This window comes from Homo sapiens, chromosome 3 (genome assembly GCF_000001405.40).
Source record: "Homo sapiens chromosome 3, GRCh38.p14 Primary Assembly".
Lineage (NCBI taxonomy): Eukaryota > Metazoa > Chordata > Mammalia > Primates > Hominidae > Homo > Homo sapiens.
The window spans coordinates 163,308,655-163,330,915 of NC_000003.12; the positions used below are offsets into that span (position 1 = coordinate 163,308,655).

General features: G+C 36.2%; 1 long non-coding RNA gene across 2 annotated transcripts in view; it reads left to right on the top strand.

The window, feature by feature from the left end:
• Positions 1–22,261, top strand: part of LOC105374188 (uncharacterized) — a 76,972-nt gene that overhangs the window by 4,464 nt on the left and 50,247 nt on the right. Inside the window, exons 2-4 of one of the 2 annotated variants that reach the window (XR_924654.1) lie at positions 5,014–5,101; positions 18,306–18,423; positions 20,022–20,261. This is a non-coding gene — a long non-coding RNA (uncharacterized LOC105374188). The remainder of the gene's footprint in view (positions 1–5,013; positions 5,102–18,305; positions 18,424–20,021; positions 20,262–22,261) is intronic. The other variant, XR_924655.1, reaches the window with a different exon arrangement.

Genomic DNA, 22,261 nt, shown 5'->3' on the forward strand with positions numbered 1-22,261 from the left:
ACAAATTCAGTAACATTGCATAATACAAAATCAACATACAGCAATTAGTAGCATTTCTATATGCCAACAGTGAACAATGTGAAAAAGAAAGAAAAAAAGTAATGCAATTTATAATAGCCACACTTAAAATTAAATATTTAGAAAATAACCAAAGGAGTGAATAATCTCTATAATAAAAACTATATATCATTAATAAAGAAAAGTGAAGAGGTCATCAAAAATGGAAAAAATATTCCATGTTCATAAACTGGAAGAATCAATATTGTGAATTGTCCATACTACCCAAAGCGATGTATAGATTCAATGCAATCCCTATCAAAATACCAATGACATTCTTCACATAAGTAGAGAAAACAACCCTAACATTTATATGGAACCACAACGAACCCTGAATACCTATAAGCAAAACAAACAAACAAGCAAACACCGCAAAAATCAAATTACCTGACTTCAAATTATACTATAGAACTATAGTATAGTATAGTTACTATAGAACTATAGTAACCAAAACAGACATATAGACCAATGGAACAGAATGGAACAGAATAAAAACAGACATATAGACCAATGGAACAGAATAGAGAAGCCAAAAACAAATTCATACCTACAGTGAACACATTTTTGACAAAGTTGACAAGAATATGCACTGGGTAAAAACAGTTTCTTTAATAAATAGTGCTGGGAAAACTGGATAGCCATAAGCAATGGAATAAAACTGGACCACTATCTCTTGCTTTATACAAGAATAAAATCAAATTTGATTAACATCTCAAATATAAACCTCAAACTACAAAAATATTACAATAATACACTGGGGAAAATCTGCAGGACATTAATCTGGGCAAAGATTTTTTGAGCAATATCCCACAAACACAGGCAACCAAAGCAAATATGGAAAAACAAGATGCCAACAAGTTAAAAAGCTTTCACACAGCAAATGATATAATCGAAAAAGTGAAGAGACAACCCACAGAATGGGAGAAAATGTTTGCAAACTACCCCCCTGACAAGGGATTAATCACCAGAATACATAAGGAGCACTAACAACTCTATAGAAAAAAATCTAGAAGTTCAATCAAAATGGGCAAAAGATTCAAATAGACATTTTTCAAGAGAACACATACAAATGGCAAACAAGCATATGCAAAAGTGCCCAAAATCAATGATTGTAAGAGAAATGCAAATCACAACTTCAAAAAGATATGATATCACCTGAGTTAAAATGGTCTATATCCAAATGACAGGCAATAATGAATGCTGATGAGTATGTGGAGAAAAGGGAACACTTGTACACTGTTGATGGAAATGAAATTTAGCACAACTACTATGGATAATAGTTTGGAGGTTCCTCAAAATCTAAAAATTGAGCTAACATATGGTTCAGAAATACCACTGCTGGGTACATACCCCAAAGAAAGGAAATCATCATATTGAAGAGCTATCTGCAGTCATATTTGCTGCAGCACTGTTTACAATAGCTAAGATTTGGAAGCAACCTAAGTGTCCATGAACAGATGAATGTATAAAGGAAATATGGTACATATACACAGTAGAGTACTATTCACCCACAAAAGTGAATGAGATTCTGTCATTTGCAAAAGCATGGTTGGAACTGGATATCATAATGTTAAGTGAAATAAGCCAGTCATAAAAATACAAACATTACATGTTCTCACTTATTTGTGAGATCCCAAAATTAAATCAATTGAACTAATGGAAATAAAAAGTAGAAGGGTGGTTACCAGAGCCTGGAAAAGGTAGTGGGGATTTTGAGGGGAGGCATGGATGTTTAATGGGTACAAAAATAGAAAGAATGAATAAAACCTACAGTCTGAAAGCACAATATGGTGACTATAGACAATAATAACTTAATTGTATATTTCAAAATAAGTTAAAGTACGTAATAGGATTGTTTTTAACTTAAAGGATAAATGCTTGAGGAGATGGAGACCCTAGTCTCCATGATGTGCTTATTTCACATCAAATGCTTATATCAAAACATCTCAAGAACCCCATAAATATAGACACCTACTATGTACCCACCAAAACTTTTTAAAATTAATTAATAATTAAAAATTCCAAAAGCAATTTTTGACTTTTAATACATATGTATAATTTATAAATATTTATAAATGCATGACAATATACATAATATATACACAATATATATACATAGTGACTTCATTGCACTATTCCCACTGTTACAAATCTGACGAAACACAATTACCATTCACCTAATTGCCTGAAATAGCCTACTAGCAAACAGTACTTTCTTCAACCCTTGTCCGTACATAATCTTCTCCACATAGTATCAAGTTTTTAATGTGTTTAAAAAAAATAAAAACCCAAACAAACACACACCCTCAAAAAAGCACATGCTGGGCACAGTGGCTCATGCCTGTAATCCCAGCACTTTCAGAGGTCGAGGTGGGCAGATCATGAAGTGAAGAGATCAAAACTACCCTGGCCAACATGGTGAGACCCCATCTCTATTAAAAAATACAAAAAATTTCTGGGCTTGGTGGCACACACCTGTAGTCCCAGCTACTTGGGAGGCTGAGGCAGGAGAATTACTTGAACCTGGGAAGTGAAGGTTGCAAATGAACCGAGATCGCCCCACTGCACTCCAGCTTGGTGACAGAGCAAGACTGTGTCTCAAACAAACAAAAAAACAAAAACAAAACAAACAAAAAAACAGTGAGTCAGATCATGGTAGTCTCTTTTCAAAATCCTACAATAGTTTCCGGTTTAACTCAGAAAAAAAGTCATTAAAAAGACTACAATACGGCCGGGCGCGGTGGCTCACGCCTGTAATCCCAGCTCTTTGGGAGGCCGAGGCGGGTGGATCATGAGGTCGGGAGATCGAGACCATCCTGGCTAACAAGGTGAAACCCCATCTCTACTAAAAATACAGAAAATTAGCTGGGCGCGGTGGCGGGCGCCTGTAGTCCCAGCTACTCGGGAGGCTGAGGCAGGAGAATGGCGTGAACCCGGGAGGCGGAGCTTGCAGTGAGCCGAGATTGCGCCACTGCAGTCCGCAGTCCGGCCTGGGCAACAGAGCGAGACTCCGTCTCAAAAAAAAAAAAAAAAAAAAAAAGACTACAATACTTTGCCTAATTTCACCATTATTTACTTCAATAATGTTATTTCATAATACTTTTTCCCATGTATTCTTGGTTCTAACCATGATGGACCCAAGGTTTTAATACTTCATGCATACTTACATTTGTGCTCTGACTATTCCTTTACACGGAATAAACTTCTATACTTGGAATGTCTATCTCAATCATCTTTGAACCTCCTCAATGACATTATACATTGTACCAAATGAAAATGCAACAAATTGTTTCCTGCCTCACAACAAACACCCCTACTATACCGTTTTTCCATTTGCGCTATCAACTTATAACATAATACAAAGTCTTCTTGCTTGCTATATGTATTTATTTATTTATTTTCTGTATTAGACTGTTAACCCTACCTGGGGAAGCATCTTTATGCAGTGTGGTACATGTAATCTCTTATATATCTCAGTGGACTTGAACACTGCCACTATCTGGCACATAATAGGTTCTTAATAAATATTTATGGAATGATTCTAGCCAACCAAGAACATTCTACTCTGCAAAGTGGAGACATGATCAGTAAATTAGGGTGCTTTTGTTTGTTTGTTTGTTTTGTAGTGTAAGATTTACAGATTGGTTAAATTTTCCATGCAAAGATTGGAGAAAGTCAAGACCAGCACCTTGTATTTTAATTACCTATTGTATTAGAGGTAATACATGGTTTACCTCTAATGGCCATGGTTTTAAATTATTTTACACAACTACAAAATATAGCTTGAGATAAAAATACATGGAAAGAAACAGTAAAAACTGTATCACCAATTATGATAAATGGCATGTATTAATGCCCTTATTGCTAGAAAGACAAAATTAAAATATTCTGCTTCCCTCTTCCGTGTTCAGACTTCACCTGTTTATTACTTGGTGGAGTTAGCAGAAAAGTAATTTTACTACCAATCAGGTTAGTAAATTATAAGTAATAATTGAGTTTCTTCTTAATGAAAATACTCCCTGCAGTGAATAATATATATTTAAATGTATTTCACTTTGTTGACAATTACTCTCCAATTTACTAAATGTATATTTTGTATGAAAACAGGGAAACAGCATATGTTGTAGAGATTTCTGTTTTTTAGACATGAAAGACAAAGACACAATTTACTACTTCATAAATAAATGTTTACCATTACTCCCTCATTATTTGATTTTAGATATTGAATTATTGATCAGCATCTGCTCCTTAGAACCAGATTGTGTATTTAGTGAGGTTTCTGTTCATATGTTGTTTTCTCTGTGGGAAATAAATTGTTTCTCTGTAGGAAGCATTTGATGTTTACTAATAAGTTGTTTTCTCAGTAGGCTTGGACTTCTGAGTGTTGAAATTTAAATTGCTCTTTCTCTTATTACATTGAGCCCATTTCAATATTATACAAGTTCTTGGACATTGGAGACTTTTTTAGCACAGATTTATTATGTATAATGTCAAGCAATACTTAAAGATAGTTTGGAATTAATGTATTAGAAGTTACTCTATGTAATGGTATTTCTTAATCGGACAGAAGCATTTTTGGACATATTTTTCTTTTTTATAATTGATTAAATATACATTTCCAAAGCTCTTTCACTTAAATCTAGCAGATACTAATTCCATTGTTTTCAATATTTGAAAACAATGTTACATAATTAAGTTGGTTATTAGATAGAATATAATGATTTAATACAAATGTATAAGTTTGTTGTTTGGATTTCAAATAAAGCATTATTTTTACACTATTTTTCCTTCCTCTTCCTTCCTTCCTTCTTTCCCTCCCTCTTTCTCTCCCTCCCTCCCATCTTCCTTCCTTCCTTTCTTCCATGCTTCCTTCCTCCTTTCCTTCCTTCCTTCCTTCTTTCCCTCCCTCTTTCCCTCCCTCCCTCCCTCCCATCTTCCTTCCTTCCTTCCTTCCAGAATTGCAGAATGAACAAGAATTTCCCAACCAACTATCTGCTGCTTTCAAGAGTCTCACCTGCCACAAAATGACTCACATAAACTTAAGGTAAAAAGGTGGAAAAAGACATTCCATGCAAATCAACACCAAAAGCAAGAAGGAGTAGCTATTTTTATATGAGACAAAAAAAAAACTTTAAAGCAACAGCAGTTAAAAAACGAAAAAGTGACATTATATAATGATAGAAGACCTTGTCCAATAGGAAAATATCACAATCCTAAATATCTATGCATTTAACACTGGGGCTTCCAAATTCATAAAACGAGTACTAATAGACCTAAGAAATGAGATAGACAGCAACACAATAATAGTTGGGGACTTCAATACTTCACTTACAGTACTAGACAGGTTATCAAAACACAAAGAAACAATAGATTTAAACTATACCCTGGAACAAATGGACTTAACAGGTATATACAGAAAATTCTATCCAAAAAACCCAGAATATATATTCTATTCATCAGTGCATATAACTTTCTCCAAGATAGACCATATTATAGGCCACAAAACAAACCTCAGTTTTAAAAAATTGAAATTATATTAAGCACTCTCTCAGACCACGGTGGAATAAAACTAGAAATCAACTCCAAAAGTAACCTTGAAAACCATGCAAATAGATGGAAATAAAATAACCTGCTCGTGAATGATCATTCTGTCAAAAATGAAATCACACCTCAAGGAACTAGAGAAACAAGGATAACACAAAACCAAACCCAGCAGACAAAATGAAATAACCAAGATCAGAGCAGAACTAAGTGAATTTTTTTAAAAAAGTACAAAAGATAAATGAAACAATAAGCTGGTTCTTTGAAAAGATAAATAAATTGATAGACCACTAGCAAGATTATCCAAAAAAAGTAGAGAAATAATCCAAATAAACTCAATTAGAAACAAAATAGAAGATATTACAACTGACACCACAGAAATATAAAAGATCCTACAAGGATACTATGAACGCCTTTAGGCACATAAACTAGGTTAAATCAGGAATAAATAAATACCCTGCACAGACCAATAACAAGCAGTGAGATTGAAATTTTAATAAAAAATTACCAACAAAAAAAGTCGAGGAACAGATGGAGTCATGGCAGAATTCTAGCAGACTTTCAAAGAAGAAATTGTAGCAATCCTGTTGACACTATTTCTTGAGGTATTCTTAAGTAAATTTAATCTAGTTAGTGTTTTACAACCTTCTTGTTTTTGAACATTCATATCTTTCTCTAGGTTTTGAAATTATCTGTTATTACCTCTTTGCATATAGTTTCTATGCCTATGCCATTGCCACTACATTGCCTATGCCAATGCCAAACTCTTTCTCTACCTCCTCTTTGAGATTAGTTAATCTTAGATTTGTCGAGTTTAGGCTATTTTCTATATCTTGTAGCTGTGCTTCATTTTTTAATTTTTTTCTTTTGTCTCCTCTGACTCTGTATTTTCACATAGCCTGTCTGCAATCTAACTAATTCTTTCTTCTACATGTTAAGTTCTGTTATGTTTTCCTGGATGGTCTTGATGCTTATAAGACCCGGACACTGAAGAATCTGTTATGTATTCTAATATTTGAAGCCTGGGCATTTTTGTTTCTGTCCTTTTATAGAAGGCTTATCAGGTATTCAGAGATTTGAGTATTATGATCTACCTTTTTTTTTGCCACTGCAACTATATCTGCATTAGGGCCAAGCCACAAACCCAGTAATGCTGTGACTCTCGGAGACTTATTAAAGTACTGCCTTGGTGGTGTTGGGTAAGATCCAGAATTCCCTGGATTACCTGACAGATTTTTGTTGTTGTTGTTCTTTTCTCTTAGTTTTCCTCAAAAATATTTAGTCTCTCTTCTGTGCTAAGCTGCCTGAAGTTGGGTAGGAATAATGCAGGCTTTCTTGTGGCCACCACCTCTGTGATTACGTTGGGTCATACCTTAAGCCAGCAGTTTACTGAATCTTACCCAAGTCCTATGGCGATGACTGAGGAATCCTTCCAGTACTGGGCCTTTCCTTTCAGGGCAGCAGGTTTCTTTGTGGCCTAGGATAGATCTAGAAATGCCATTCAAGAGATAGCGCCTGGAATCAGGGGTTTTCACAATCTACTTATTGCATTATTTTACTGTGGTTGAGCTGGTACCCAAGTTGTAAGACAAAGTCATCTTTACTTTTCTCCCTCCTTTACATAAGCAGAAGGAGTTTCTTTCAATTTCCACAGTCTTCTCAGGCCTGTGGTGACTACTGCCTAGAAACTGCCAATGTTTATTCAAGGATGATGGGCTCCTTAGTCAGTAGATGATGTCTTCTGGGAACTAGGGCCTGGAATCAGGACTTCAGAACTCTATGTGGTGCATTATTTTAGTGTGGCTGAGCTGGTGTCCCAGTTGCAATACAAAGTCCTCATTATCTTCCCTTTTTTTCTCCCCTCAAATGGAAAGAGTTTGGCTGTGACAGGCAGCCCTGAATTCCAACCCAAGGTCCTCCAATCACTTTGCTCTCACTTTCCCAAACACACAGATTCTTTCTCCATGCCACACAGCATTGACAGGGAATAGGAGGAGGCAGTGTAGGCAATTTAAGACTGTCTTACCTACCTCTTTCAATGCTTCTGTTTGATATAATGTAAAAACCAGGCACTGTGGTTATACTCCTGAGTTCTGCAACTTATGATGGTACTTTCTTTTGTGAATAGTTGTTCAATACAGTGTTCTTGTGGGGAAAATGATCACTGAAATGTTCTATTCAGGCATCTTGCTCTATCTCCTATATTGATTTATTTTCCTTTGGGTAGATACTCACGAGTCAGACTGCTAGAACAAACTGTAGTTCTATATTTAGCTCTTCAAGAAACCTCTATATTATTTTTCACAATGGTTGTAATAATTTACCTTCCTACCAACAGTGTATAAGAGTTCCCTTACCTCTATAGCCTTGCTAACATCAGTTATATTTGACATTTTTAGTGATAGCCATTCTGACTGGGGTAAGATGATATCTTATTGTGGTTTTAATTTGCATTTCTCTGACAATTAGTTATGTGGAGTTTCTTTAATACACATGTTGGCCATTGTATGTCTTCTTTTGACAAGTGTCTATTCATATTCCTTGCCTCCTTTTTAATGGGGCTGTTTATTTTATTTTGCTGTTCCTGTTGAGTCATTTGAGTATCTCGTGTACTTTGGATATTTGACTCTTGCCATATGCATAATTTGCAAATATTTTCTCCAATTCTTCAGGTTGTCTGTTCAGTCTACATATTATTTTTCTTGCTGTGCAACATTTGAGTTTAATTTAGTTATATTTTTCTATTTTGTTTTTTATTGCTTGTGCTTGAGAACTTAGTCATCTATTATTCACCTAGATAAAAGTTCACAAGAGATTTCCCAAGGCTTTCTTCTAGTCTTTTTGAAGATCAGGTCATACATTTACATTTTTATTCCATCTTGAGTTGACTTCTGTTTTTTTATTTTTTTATTTTTTATTTTTATTATACTTTAAGTTTTAGGATACATGTGCACAACGTGCAGGTTAGTTACATATGTATACATGTGTCATGTTGGTGTACTGCACCCATTAACTCGTCATTTAACATTAGGTATATCTCCAAATGCAATCCCTCCCCACTCCCCCCACCCCACAACAGGCCCCGGTGTGTGATATTACCCTTCCTGTGTCCATGTGTTCTCATTGTTCAACTCCCACCTATGAGTGAGAACATGCAGTGTTTGGTTTTTTGTCCTTGCGATAGTTTGCTGAGAATGATGGTTTCCAGACTCATCCATGTCCCTACAAAGGACATGAACTCATCATTTTTTATGGCTGCATAGTATTCCATGGTGTATATGTGCCACATTTTCTTAATCCAGTCTATCATTGTTGGGCATTTGGGTTGGTTCCAAGTCTTTGCTATTGTGAATAGTGCCGCAATAAACATATGTGTGCATGTGTCTTTATAGCAGCATGATTTATAATCCTTTGGGTATATATCCAGTAAAGGGATTGCTGGGTCAAATGATATTTCTAGTTCCAGATCCCTGAGGAATCGCCACACTGACTTGCACAATGGTTGAACTAGTTTATAGTCCCACCAACACTGTAAATGTGTTCCTATTTCTCCACATCCTCTCCAGCACCTGTTGGTTCCTGACTTTTTAATGATTGCCATTCTAACTGGTGTGAGATGGTATCTCATTGTGGTTTTGATTTGCATTTCTCTGATGGCAAGTGATGATGAGCATTTTTCCATGTGTCTTTTGGTTGCATAAATGTCTTCTTTTGAGAAGTGTCTGTTCATGTCCTTCGTCCACTTTTTGATGGGGTTGTTTGTTTTTTTCTTGTAAATTTGTTTGAGTTCATTGTAGATTCTGGGTGTTAGCCCTTTGTCAGATGAGTAGATTGCAATAATTTTCTCCCATTTTGTAGGTTGCCTGTTCACTCTGATGGTAGTTTCTTTTGCTGTGCAGAAGCTCTTTAGTTTAATTAGATCCCATTTGTCAATTATGGCTTTTGTTGCCATTGCTTTTGGTATTTTAGACATGAAGTCCTTGCCCATGCCTATGTCCTGAATGGTATTGCCTAGGTTTTCTTCTAGGGTTTTTAAGGTTTTAGGTCTAACGTTTAAGTCTTTAATCCATCTTGAATTAATTTTTGTATAAGATGTAAGGAAGGGATCCAGTTTCAGCTTTCTACATATGGCTAGCCAGTTTTCCCAGCACCATTTATTAAATAGGGAATCCTTTCCCCATTTCTTGTTTTTGTCAGGTTTGTCAAAGATCAGATGTTTGTAGATACGTGGCATTATTTCTGAGGGCTCTGTTCTGTTCCATTGCTCTATATCTCTGTTTTGGTACCAGGACCATGCTGTTTTGGTTACTGTAGCCTTGTAGTATAGTTTGAAGTCAGGTAGTGTGATGCCTCCAGCTTTGCTCTTTTGGCTTAGGATTGACTTGGCAATGTGGGCCCTTTTTTGGTTCCATATGAACTTTAAAGTAGTTTTTTCCAATTCTGTGAAGAAAGTCATTGGTACATTGATGGGGATGGCATTGAATCTATAATTTACCTTGGGCAGTATGGCCATTTTCAGGATATTGATTCTTCCTACCCATGAGCATGGAGTGTTCTTCCATTTGTTTGTATCCTCTTTTATTTCATTGAGCAGTGGTTTGTAGTTCTCCTTGAAGAGGTCCTTCACATCCCTTGTAAGTTGGATTCCTAGGTATTTTATTCTCTTTGAAGCAATTGTGAATGGGAGTTTGTGATTTTTGCACATTGATTTTGTATCCTGAGACTTTGCTGAAGTTGCCTATCAGCTTAAGGACATTTTGAGTTGAGATGATGGGGTTTTCTAGATATACAATCATGTCATCTGCAAACAGGGACAATTTGACTTCCTCTTTTCCTAATTGAATACCCTTTATTTCCTTCTCTTGCCTGATTGTCCCGGCCAGAACTTCTAACACTATGTTGAATAGGAGTGGTGAGAGAGGGCATCCCTGTCTTGCAACAGTTTTCAAAGGGAATGCTTCCAGTTTTTGCCCATTCAGTATGATATTGGCTGTGGGTGTGTCACAGGGAGCTCTTATTATTTTGAGATACATCCCATCAATACCTAATTTATTGAGAGTTTTTAGCATGAAGTGTTGTTGAATTTTTTCAAAGGCCTTTTCTGCATCTATTGAGATAATCATATGGTTTTTGTCATTGGTTCTGTTTATATGCTGGATTATGTTTATTGATTTGCATATATTAAACCAGCCTTGCATCCCAGGGATGAAGCCCACTTGATCATGGCGGATAAGCTTTGTGATGTGCTTCTGGATTTGGTTTGCAAGTATATTATTCAGGATTTTTGCATTGATGTTCATCAGGGATATTGGTCTAAAATTCTCTTTTTTTGTTTTGTCTCTGCCTGGCTTTGGTATCAGGATGATGCTGCCCTCATAAAATGAGTTAGGGAGGATTCCTTCTTTTTCTATTGATTGGAATAGTTTCAGAAGGAATGGTACTTTAACACCCCACTGTCAACTTTAGACAGATCAACAAGACAGAAAGTTAACAAGGATATCCAGGAATTGAACTCAGCTCACCAAGTGGACCTAATAGACATCTACAGAACTCTCCACCCCAATTCAACAGAATATACATTCTTCTCAGCACCGCACCACACTTCTTCCAAAATTGATCACATAGTTGGAAGTAAAGCACTCCTCAGCAAATGTAAAAGAACAGAAATTATAACGAACTGTCTCTCAGACCACAGTGAAATCAAACTAGAACTCAGGATTAAGAAACTCACTCAAAACCGCTCAACTACATGGAAACTGAACAACCTGCTCCTGAATGACTACTGGGTACATAATGAAATGAAGGCAGAATAAAGATGTCCTTTGAAACCAATGAGAACAAAGCCACAACATACCAGAATCTCTGGGACACATTCAAAGCAGTGTGTAGAGGGAAATTTATAGCACTAAATGCCCACAGGAGAAAGCAGGAAAGATCTAAAATTGACACCCTAACATCACAATTAAAAGAACTAGAGAAGCAAGAGCAAACACATTCAAAAGCTAGCAGAAGGCAAGAAGTAACTAAGATCAGAGCAGAACTGAAGGAAATAGAGACACAAAAAACCCTTAAAAAAAATCAATGAATCCAGGAGCTGGTTTTTTGAAAAGATCAACAAAACTGATAGACCGCTAGCAAGATTAATAAAGAAGAAAAGAGAGAAGAATCAAATAGATGCAATAAAAAATGATAAAGGAGATATCACCACCGATCCCACAGAAATACAAACTACCGTCAGAGAATACTATAAACACCTCTACACAAATAAACTAGAAAACCTAGAAGAAATGGATAAATTCCTCGACACATACACCCTCCCAAGACTAAACCAGGAAGAAGTTGAATCTCTGAATAGACCAATAACAGGCTCTGAAATTGAGGCAATAATTAATAGCTTACCAACCAAAAAAACTCCAGGACCAGACGGATTCACTGCCGAATTCTACCAGAGGTACAAGGAGGAGTTGAGTTGACTTTTGTATGTGCTGAGACATAGTTACTTAGTTTCATTTTTCTCCATATGACAATTCAATTTTCCCAGCATCAGTTTTTGATATGGATGTCCTATTCTCAGTGTATGTTCTTGGTGAATTTATCAAAGATCAATTGAGTTTAAATATTTCGCTTTATTTCTGGGGTTCATATTCTGTACCGTTTTCTATATGTCTATTTTTATAGTGGTTCCATGCTATTTTGCTTATATAGCTTTGTAGTAAAATTTGAAGTCAGGTAATCTGATACCTCCACGTTTATTCATTTTGCTTGGGATACATTGACTATAAAGACTCTTTTTAGGCTTTATATAAATTTTAAAATGGTACCTTTTAATTTTCTTTAAAAAATGGTGTTTTGATGGAGATTATATTAAATTAGTAGATTTCTCTAGGCAGTGTGATTATTTTAATAGTAATTCTTCCAATGCATGAGCATGAAATATTGTTCCATTTGTTTTTGTTATCTACAATATATCTGTTTTTTATAGTTTTTATTATAGAAAGCTTTTATCTTCTTGCTTACGTATATTCCTAGGGTTATTTTTAGGCAATTGTAAATGCGATTGCCTTTTTGATTTTATCAGCTAGATCATTATTGGTGTATAGAAATGCTATTGATTTTTTGTATGCCAATTTTGTATCCTGGTGTATAGAAATGATATTGATTTTTTGTATGTTAATTTTGTATCCTGAGATGTTATTGGTTACTGAATTCATTTATAAAATATAGGCATGTTTCATTTTTCAGTTTTGTTTTTCTAGGTACAACATCACATTTTCAGCAAACAGGTATATTCGACTTCCTCTCTTTTCAATTTGGTTGTGTTTTTTGTATTTTTTTTTCTCTTGCCTGATTGCTCTGACTAGGAATTATACTACCATGTTAAATATAAATGGTAGAAGTTGATATCCTTGTTTGGTTTGAGTTATTAGAAGAAATGTTTTCAAATTTTCCCCAGTCAGTATGATGTTGAGTGTCACCTTGTCATATGCGATCTTTATTATATTGAGTCATTTTTCTTCTCTGTGTAGAATGCTGTATTTTATTAAGTGCTTTTTATATATCTATTTTGATGATTTTTTATTGTGTTTATGTGATGTATCACATGCATTGATTTACATATGTTGAACCATTCTTGCATACCTGGTTTAAGTCCATTGGATTATGGCGTACTATCTTTTTCATGTGCTGCTGGATTCAGTTTGCTACCATATTGGAGGGTTTTTGTCTCTTTCTCCTTGAAGGATGTTGATATTCTGTTTTCATTATTTTTTCTTTTTTCTGATTTTGATATCAAGCTGACATTGGCCTTGTAGAATGAGTTACCATTTACTCCTTACTTCTCAATTTTTTTGAATAATTTCTAAAGAATTGGTGCAGTTCTTCATTTATTTGGTAGAATTTGGCTGTGAATCCATCTTATCCTGAGCTTTTATTTATTCAAATACTTTTTTATTACTGATTCAATCTGTACTAAATATTAGACTTTTCAGGTTTTCTGTATCTCCTTGCTTTAATCTTGGGAGGCTGAGTGTTTCCAGAAATTTGTCTGTTTCCTGTAGATTCTCTAGTTTGTGTGCCTATAGTTGTTCTTATACTCTGATTACCTTTTGTATATCTGTAGCATCAAATGTAATATCATCTTTTTCATTTCTAATTTCATCTATTTGGAGCAACTCTCTTATTTTTTAGGTTAGTCTACCTAAGAGCTTGTCATTTATCTTTTTGAAGAAACAACTTTTTTTTTCATTGATCCCTTTAACTGTTTCTTTTTTTTTGGTCTCTATTTTATTTAGTTAATTAAGCTCTGAACTTTATTTTTTTTTTTTAATTCTGTTAATTTTGTGTTTGACCACTCTTGCTTTTCTAGTTCTTTGAGATGTGACATTAGGCTGTTAATTTGTAATCTCTGATTCTTTGATGTAGGTTTTTAATGCTATAAACTTTTCTTTTAGCACTGCTTTTGCTGTATTCCACATGTTTTGGTATGCTGTGTTTTCATTTTTATTTGTTGCATTGTATTAAATTTATGGCTTTATTTCTTCATTGAGCCAATGATTGTTCAGAAGCATGATGTTTAATTTCCATGTTTGTATATTTTCTAAAGTTCCTTTTGATATTGATTCCTAGATTTTTCCACTGTGATCTCAGAAGATAATTGATATGATTATATTCATTTAAATTTGTTGAGACTTATTTTGTTATCTAAAGTGGTCTCTCAGCTTCATATGCTGATGTGTCGAATATACATTCTACAGTTGTTGAGCATAGTGTTATGTAAATATCTGTTAGGCTCATTTTGTCTAAAGCTTAATTTGTTTAATTTTTGTTAATTTTCTTTTTCAATGTTTTCTAATGTTGTGACTGGAGTGTTGTAGTCCTCTACTTTTATTTTGTTGTCATCTATGTCCTTCTTTAGATATAATAGTGTTTATTTTATGTATCTGAGTTATCTTGTGTTGGATTCATTTATACTTAGAATTGTTATATCTCTCTGCTGAATTGGTCCCTTTATCATTATATAATAATCTTATTTATTTATTTTTATTTATTTAGTTTTTAACATTTTTTTACTTAAAGTGTAGTTTATCTGAGTATAGCTACTGCTGGTCTCTTTTGGTTTCCATTTGTGTGAAACATCTTTCCCCACCCCTTTACTTTCGGTCTACGTGCCTTTGTGGATAAGGTGAGTTTCTTGTAAGCAGCATATAGTTTGATGATTTTTAAAAATCCATTCTACCAATCTATTTTAAGGGACCACTTAATCAATTTATGTTCAAAGTTAATAATGATTTTTACATTTTGTTTCTGCATATTGTTAAGTGTTTTATACTTGTTTTATAAATTATATGTTTCTTTTTCTCTGTCTTTGAAGTTAAGTAGAATTCTATAGTGAAGGCAATTGATTCCTTTCTATTTCTCCTTTGTGTGATTCTTTTATCTACGAGTTTTATACTTTCATGTGCTTTCACAATGGTGAATATTGATTGTCTTTTATTTCTACATTTAGAATACCTTAGAGCATTTTTTGTGTAGTCGATCTTGTGATGATTAATTACTTGTGCATTTGCTTGTCTGAGAATGGCTTCATTTCTTTATTACTTATAAAGTTTAATCTTGCTTCACATAGTATTCTTGGCTGGTTGTTTTTTTCTTTCAGCACTTTGAATATGCCATCCTATTCTCTTGTGGCCTGTAAGGGCTCTGCTGAGCAGTTGTTATCAGTCTTACAGGCTTTCCTTTAGAGATGACTAGACAAGTTTCTCTTGCTGATTTCAGAACTATTTCCTTCAGTTTGTCTTTAGAAAATCTGATTATAGTATTGAGACGTCCTTGCGGGAGGGGGTCCCCAGAAATACTCCAAATGACCCATGCACTGGAGATGTGCACTGAGGTGGAGCCACAAAAATTCACACTGTTTGCAGTAAGGAGGAGCCTGGCCCCTTTTCTTTCTGTGTGGAACCTGGGATTTGAACAGCCGGATGGGAAGCACTCTACCAGGGACCCCAACTTTAGCTGAACTAAGGAAAATTCCTGCAACATTTTTTGGCACCCTACGTGGGGCTTGATAAGTGGTGAATAAAATGGGGACTCAAAACCTCTCACTGTGGCTTCTAAGCCTTTTCATCCTCAGATGTCTGAGCTTACAGGAAACTGCACCCTCACACCCGTATCACTCCAGGGGGTTGGGGGCCTTTTCACAGGCTTTTCTTTTTTGGAAAAGACTGACAAACAGCAGCTCCCCTCTACCCTCCCCTCTGTACTGGGTTGGAGTTACATGATCCAAGGTGCCTGGGGCAGCTGGCTGGTTTCCAACCACACTACCAGAACCCTCTCTTCCTCTGCCAAGGGGTTCGGCTCCACTGGACAGTAATTAAACTATTTTCCCTGTTGGAGGAACCACTTGCATAAGAACAAAAGGTTCTTTCCTAGGCATTTTTACACCTTTCTTTTCTTCCCCTTCACTACCCCACAGCAGTTAACCTTTAAAGAATTTTTTTTTCCTCTTAGAAGACATTGTTTATGACTGCATAGTATTCCATGGTGTATATGTGCCACATTTTCTTAATCCAGTCTATCACTGTTGGACATTTGGGTTGGTTCCAAGTCTTTGCTATTGTGTTAGTGGGTGCAGCGCACCAGCATGGCACATGTATACATATGTAACTAACCTGCACAATGTGCACATGTACCCTAGAACTTAAAGTATAATAAAAAAAAAAGACATTTTTACTAGGCCAGGCCTCACAACTTTTACTGTTTATATTTCCTGTGAAATTTTGGTTGTGAAATGAAGCCTCCGTTTTGTTTTACATCCTGAGGGGATAGCTTGTAACTTTGGTGGGAGACTTTGTTTACCAATCCTGCCTTAGGGAAAGTTTCTTTAAGACTTGATACCTGCTTGTTCTCCTAGCCCTGTCTCTTAACAAACCCACCTGGGGACTGGGTTTTCCCCTCCCTGTCTGTGTGTGTGATGTGTCTAATGTCTGTAAAAAGTGCTCTAATTAATTTGGCCTAAAGAAAGATAAATGCTTGGATCTAATATTTTTTAAGGGAACATAAAATCTGTGGTGCCCTTCTTTTTGGGTGACTTTAATCTTTAAGAAATAAAAACTTCCCTAAAGATTCTTGGTAAAATTCAGATCAGATGCAAGATTTGCTAAGTGTTTTAAGGTAACAAACTGCTTTTTGGGTTTTGAGAACTATTTGACTTGCCGGCTTCACAACTGGTAGGGCCTGGGGACATATGAAACTAACTACAACCCTAATTAAGAAGGCAAATGTTGACTGCACTTAGGACACAATTAAAGAAACTGAACAGGTTTTACCTTAAAGTTAAAAATCGCTAGGAGATAACTAAAACTACTAAAAATAGATTTGAACAGTGAATTTTTTTTTTTTTTGACGGAGTCTCGCTCTGTCATCCAGGCTAGAGTGCAGTGGTGCAATCTCCACTCACTGCAAGCTCCGCCTCCCAGGTTCACGCCATTCTCCTGCCTCAGCCTCCCAAGTAGCTGGGACTACAGGTGCCTGCCACCACGCCTGGCTAATTTTTTGTATTTTTAGTAGAGACGGGGTTTCACCATGTTAGCCAGGATGGTCTTGATCTCCTGACATCAGTGATCCACCCACCTTGGCCTCTCAAAGTGCTGGGATTATAGGTATGAGCCAATATGCCTGACTGAAATGTGTTTTTTAATAAAAAGTTATAAGAAGGCATGGAAATGTAAACTTTTGCCTAGGATTAAAGAATTGTTTTGAGTTAAATTAGGAAAAAGCTGAAGGTTCAAAGAAGAGATGGAAGAATTGTGGAAATTAATCTTGCAGAAGAGGTTCTCTGTGGGAACATATTGACTAAATTTTTTTAAAAAAGGTATTATATGTATTTTCTGTAAATTAAGCATTCGAATAAAAGCATAACAAGGTTTTCCTAAGGCACTAATGTGCTCTTTGGCAAAATTTGTAAAGGGTTATAAAAGGTTTATGCTTCTTTCAAATATCTGAGTCATCATTTTGGCAAAATAATTTATGGTAATCTGAAATCCTATTTTATAATATCAAGTGTTTCAAACCTCAAACATTTAGCAGCCTTCCCAAAAGCTAACTTCAGTTTCAAAATTGTCTTTCCTGGTAGCTGGCTTTTCGAATATGTCAGATGGCCCCTGAAGTGTCCATAAAAGAGAACTAAACAGGATTAGCTGACACATTTAGGTACACGGGATGGCCAAAATGATGCTCAATCTTTTTTAGGTTATATCTTGGTAAATAATGCTGATGTATGTTCCAAAATTGTATGGGATTTCTAAAATTCTAATATCTGAGTATATGCTGTCAATCATAATTAAGGTTTTATGTTACTTTAAACCACAGAGGTAACTAAACTTCTTTATCAATTGTGTTCATAACTGCAACTACCCTGGACATTTTGCTATACACAGACAATTGTTGTCTTGTTTTAATTATTTTCAAAAGATGGTTTATAATAAACTATAGAACTTTAAAAGGTGCTTTCAAATACAAACTTCCAATAACATTGGAAATTGAAACATTAGAATAAAGGAAAATATACAGGACTAATGAAGAGCTGAAATGTTAAGGAATATCAAGCAAAACAAGAGTTAACTAAGTGAACTGAACTCAGGAAGCTAAAGTAAACTTTCTGACTTTTGCTTGGAATATTGCTGATCCATGTTTTGTTTTTCACACTCAAGGAAACTTGTTTTGAACTATTTATGGCCTTTAATAAATAAGTAACATATACTCCTGTGATCAAGATTTGGAGCATGTTTGTTTCTCTCTGCCTGTTCCTCTAGAATTTGAAAACTAACTGTGAGTATCATTATGGAAATATAGTTGTTTACATCAGTGCAATAAGAATCCATTTTTTCTTTTGCTATGGAACAGAATTGGAGAAAGTGGTTATTTTACCAAAGCTTCTACTGGAAAAATATGCTTCCTTTTAAGGAGTCAATGTCAACTTGCAGACTAAATAAAAGCCCCGTGGGGAGATTGGCATCTAACCCTTGTTTACGCAGTCTCTGTACAGGGAGTCTGACCTGTGGTCAGTAAAGAATGTCACTTTCTAACAGGCCCAGGAGCTCCAAGTTTATTATGGGGCCTTAAGAGGAAAGGATCACCCAACTCACAGGTAACTAAGGATGCAAATCCACAGTTGGGCTTGGCTTTAAAAGGCCTTTTCTGAGATTACTTATGGAATGAACTTCCATCAAAGCCAATCCCAAAAGCCTATGTAGAGATAATTATTATTGCTGCACTTTCTGCAAATAATCAGACCAAGTATAAAACGAAAGCCTATTTTGCAAGCCACTCAGTCCTATGATGATTTGTGTTTTAATAAACACAACTGGAGAGAGAGAAATCATGTGTCAAAATTTATCATATATTTTTAATTAAATTCTAAACTCACTAGTTGTTTTTAAGTTTTAACCTACATTTCAGACTAACCTTGCTTGTTCCTGTGAACCTACCAGCAATCTCCAGCTGGAACTCAGAAAGTACAAGAGAAATGGGTAATATAAAAATCTGGATCAATATTCTAGTTCTGAACAATTATCCTGCAAATCCTGACAGTTGATGAGAATAAACGCGATGCCCATTACTTGGAGTTTTTCTTTTTGGGAAAGTAAGACCAAGGGAGCTAATCAGAGCTAAGCCTCATGCATCCAAATCTTAGCAGGCATAACTATAGACACCAGTTATCTGGGTGGGTCACAAGACATCTTTTCCTCTCCCTTGTTGGAGAAGGACTCAGTTCCACAGTTTCACCTTATCTTTCAGCTTATGACAGGACCATGCAAGCCCCTGAGGCACATTTTTTCCCAAACTCAATTCCAAGCTTTGGGTCAAAGCCCTAGGAAGGAAAACTGGATGTGAGGTATTCAGAGGCAAATGACAACAGAGGTTTAAAGGCACAGCACAGTTGACCATGGCTGATTCCTGCCAATAAGCCAACCCCAATCTTCCTGTTTCATGGATAAAGACCACATTAGTATCCACGGTATAAATGAGATCTAGGGAACTCTAAGGTTACTGACAGTAGGTAGGTAAGAGACATAGGTTAGAGTGGATAATTCCTATTCTCTAGGCCCTCCTTGCTTCATGGGTGCAAGCTGCTTTAACAACCATGGCAGCACCTGCCTAGGTCGCTTGAATTCGGGAATGCAAGGATGGAAGAAGGAAAAAAGAATGTTCTTCCTTCTCTCCCTCATGCTCCCTGGGTATCTGCTTGAAAGAAAAGGAAACCAGGGATGCCCACTCCCCTCTTTCTAAATGGGTAGCCATTTATCTTCAGTTTGTATACCTTTAGAATGCATCCTGAACCCGTGGGACTCCTTTGAAAAAATGCCTTCCTTTTTTTTTTTTTTTTTTTTTAAATTTTTTCTCCTCTGTCCTCTCTTCACCGATAGGTAATTGTGTCTCTGTACTACGTGACACTCCCATTGGATGCATCCTCCAATCTGGAAAGAGTTAATTTCCTAAACCTTAAACTGGTTGGCTTAGTATTGGGCTCAGGGGAAGGGAACCCAACAGTCATGAAACTGGAGCCTCTGATGATTGTCCCTTCTGCTGGGAACCCTTAGATAGGCCTCCGAGGGAGATCTGACTGCCGTTTCCCCAGGACAGCGCCACCTATCAACAGGAAACAGGTAAGATCCGTCTTTGTTCTTACACTTGATTTAATGGCAGTAAGATGTACTTCTTTAGCGGGGGAATGAGACAGCCAGGTGGGAGGGGGGTCCCCAGAAATACTCCAGCTGACCTGCACACTGGAAATGCATGCTAGGGTGGAGCCACAGAAATTCACGCTATCTGCAGCAAGGACGAGTCCTTTCTCCTCCTGTGTGAAACCTGGGATTCAAACGGCTAGGTGGGAAGCACTGTAGCAGGAACTTTGGCCTAGCAAGAGTCCCTGTTTCCCCCTTTTCTTCCTTTTCACCCAATAAAACCCTGCTTTCCTCACCCTTCAAACACCTGCAAGCATAAATTTTTGTGGCTGTGGGAGAAACAAGGACCCTTTCTTTAGCTGAACTAAGGAAAAGTCCTGCAACAATGACTTTTGGTGATGTCCTTTTTTTGCAATGTATTGTTTCTAGAAATTGCTAGGCATCTCTGTTGGAGTATCTAAAGCTCTTGATAGATTTGGGAAGTTTTTTCAATGATTTCGTTAATAGGTTTTCTAAACTTTTTTCATAATTTCTCCCCTTTGGAATACTAATAATTCTTAAGTTTTATTACTTTATGTAGTTTCAAATTTCTTGAAAGCTTTATTTAAAAATGTGTATTAAAAATATGACTGTATTATTTCAAAACACTTGTCTTCAAATTCTGCTGTTGTTTTCTTCTGCTTGGTATAGTTTATTGTCTAATCTTTCAAGTATACTTTATAATTCCTCTAAAAAATTTTTATTACCAGAATTGTTGTCTGATTTTTTAAGACTATATCTGTCTCTTTGATAAACTTGCCATTCATAGTACCTTGCTTTTTTATGTTTCCTTTATCTTTATGTGGATTTCTGCACAACTAGAGCAGCAGATTATTTTTATTTTTGAATTTACTTTTGTTGAGGGGAACTTTTTCTTGACGATATTACTATAATATTGGTTGGGTAGAGCTGTCTGACTTGGCTTTTGGGTGTGTGACACTGTATAATTCTCTGTAATTTCATTTGCTGTAAATAGCCTTAGTGGTTTCTGTGCATTCTTTGGTGTGTTAGAGTGTGGTTATTGGTAGGGGCTGTGGTAAGGTTGTGCTGGGGACTGAAATGCGTGATGGGTCCTTCCTCAGGTTCCAGTGGTAGTAGTGGTGGGATAAGTTTGTCTATCCTTGTGCCTTTGGGCAGCATATTCTGGCACCTGTGTTGACAGTTTTAAGCAGGCAGATTATTGGCCTTCTGGGTAACTTTCTTGGATGCCAATTGTACTCATTGCTAGGAGTGTACCAGTCAGGGGAGCAGGCCCTCAACCTCCTGTGGCATCTGGGTGGGCATGGGTGATGGCAGTAGCAGTAGTCATGAGAAGCTCTTCTAGTTACCATGGATTATGCTCTTGTGCTAGCAGTTGTTGCAATGGGTATGTAGGCTTGCCTCTAGGCAACTACTTGGTGCTTGCAGGTAAAATTCAGCTTAATGGTTGTGATGGGATTTATGCCTGACTTGTGTTCCCTGGTAGAAGTGGTCAGGTGTTTCAGGTGTTGGATTAGGTTGCAGAACCCCCAGAGGCCTGGATCTTATTCTCTGAATCAGAGCAGGGACAAAGTTGGGTAGATGTAAACAAGGAAAACTTGCACTTATACTCTTCATTAGAGGGTGCATGCATTAGCTTTGATGGGAGTGGTGGGACAGTCCTCAGGCAACTTGTAAACATCAAGACTAGAAATTTGAAGAGCATGTATTTGTGTGTGTATATATATGTATGTATTTCATAAATAGTTCAATTGTGTATTAAATATATGGTTAATTTCAAAGTGAGGTGGTTTTCCTTGAGAACCACTCAGACTAACTGACCATTTCTGTTAGAAAGGAAGGCTATTTCTTTCTCTGCAAGAGAAGAAGGCTGTTATCTTACTGTCTCTTGAACAGTTTGTAATGTCACAAAAAATAGTGACAAAACAAAGACAGGTTGCATTTTTGTCTTTTTATATAGTCTA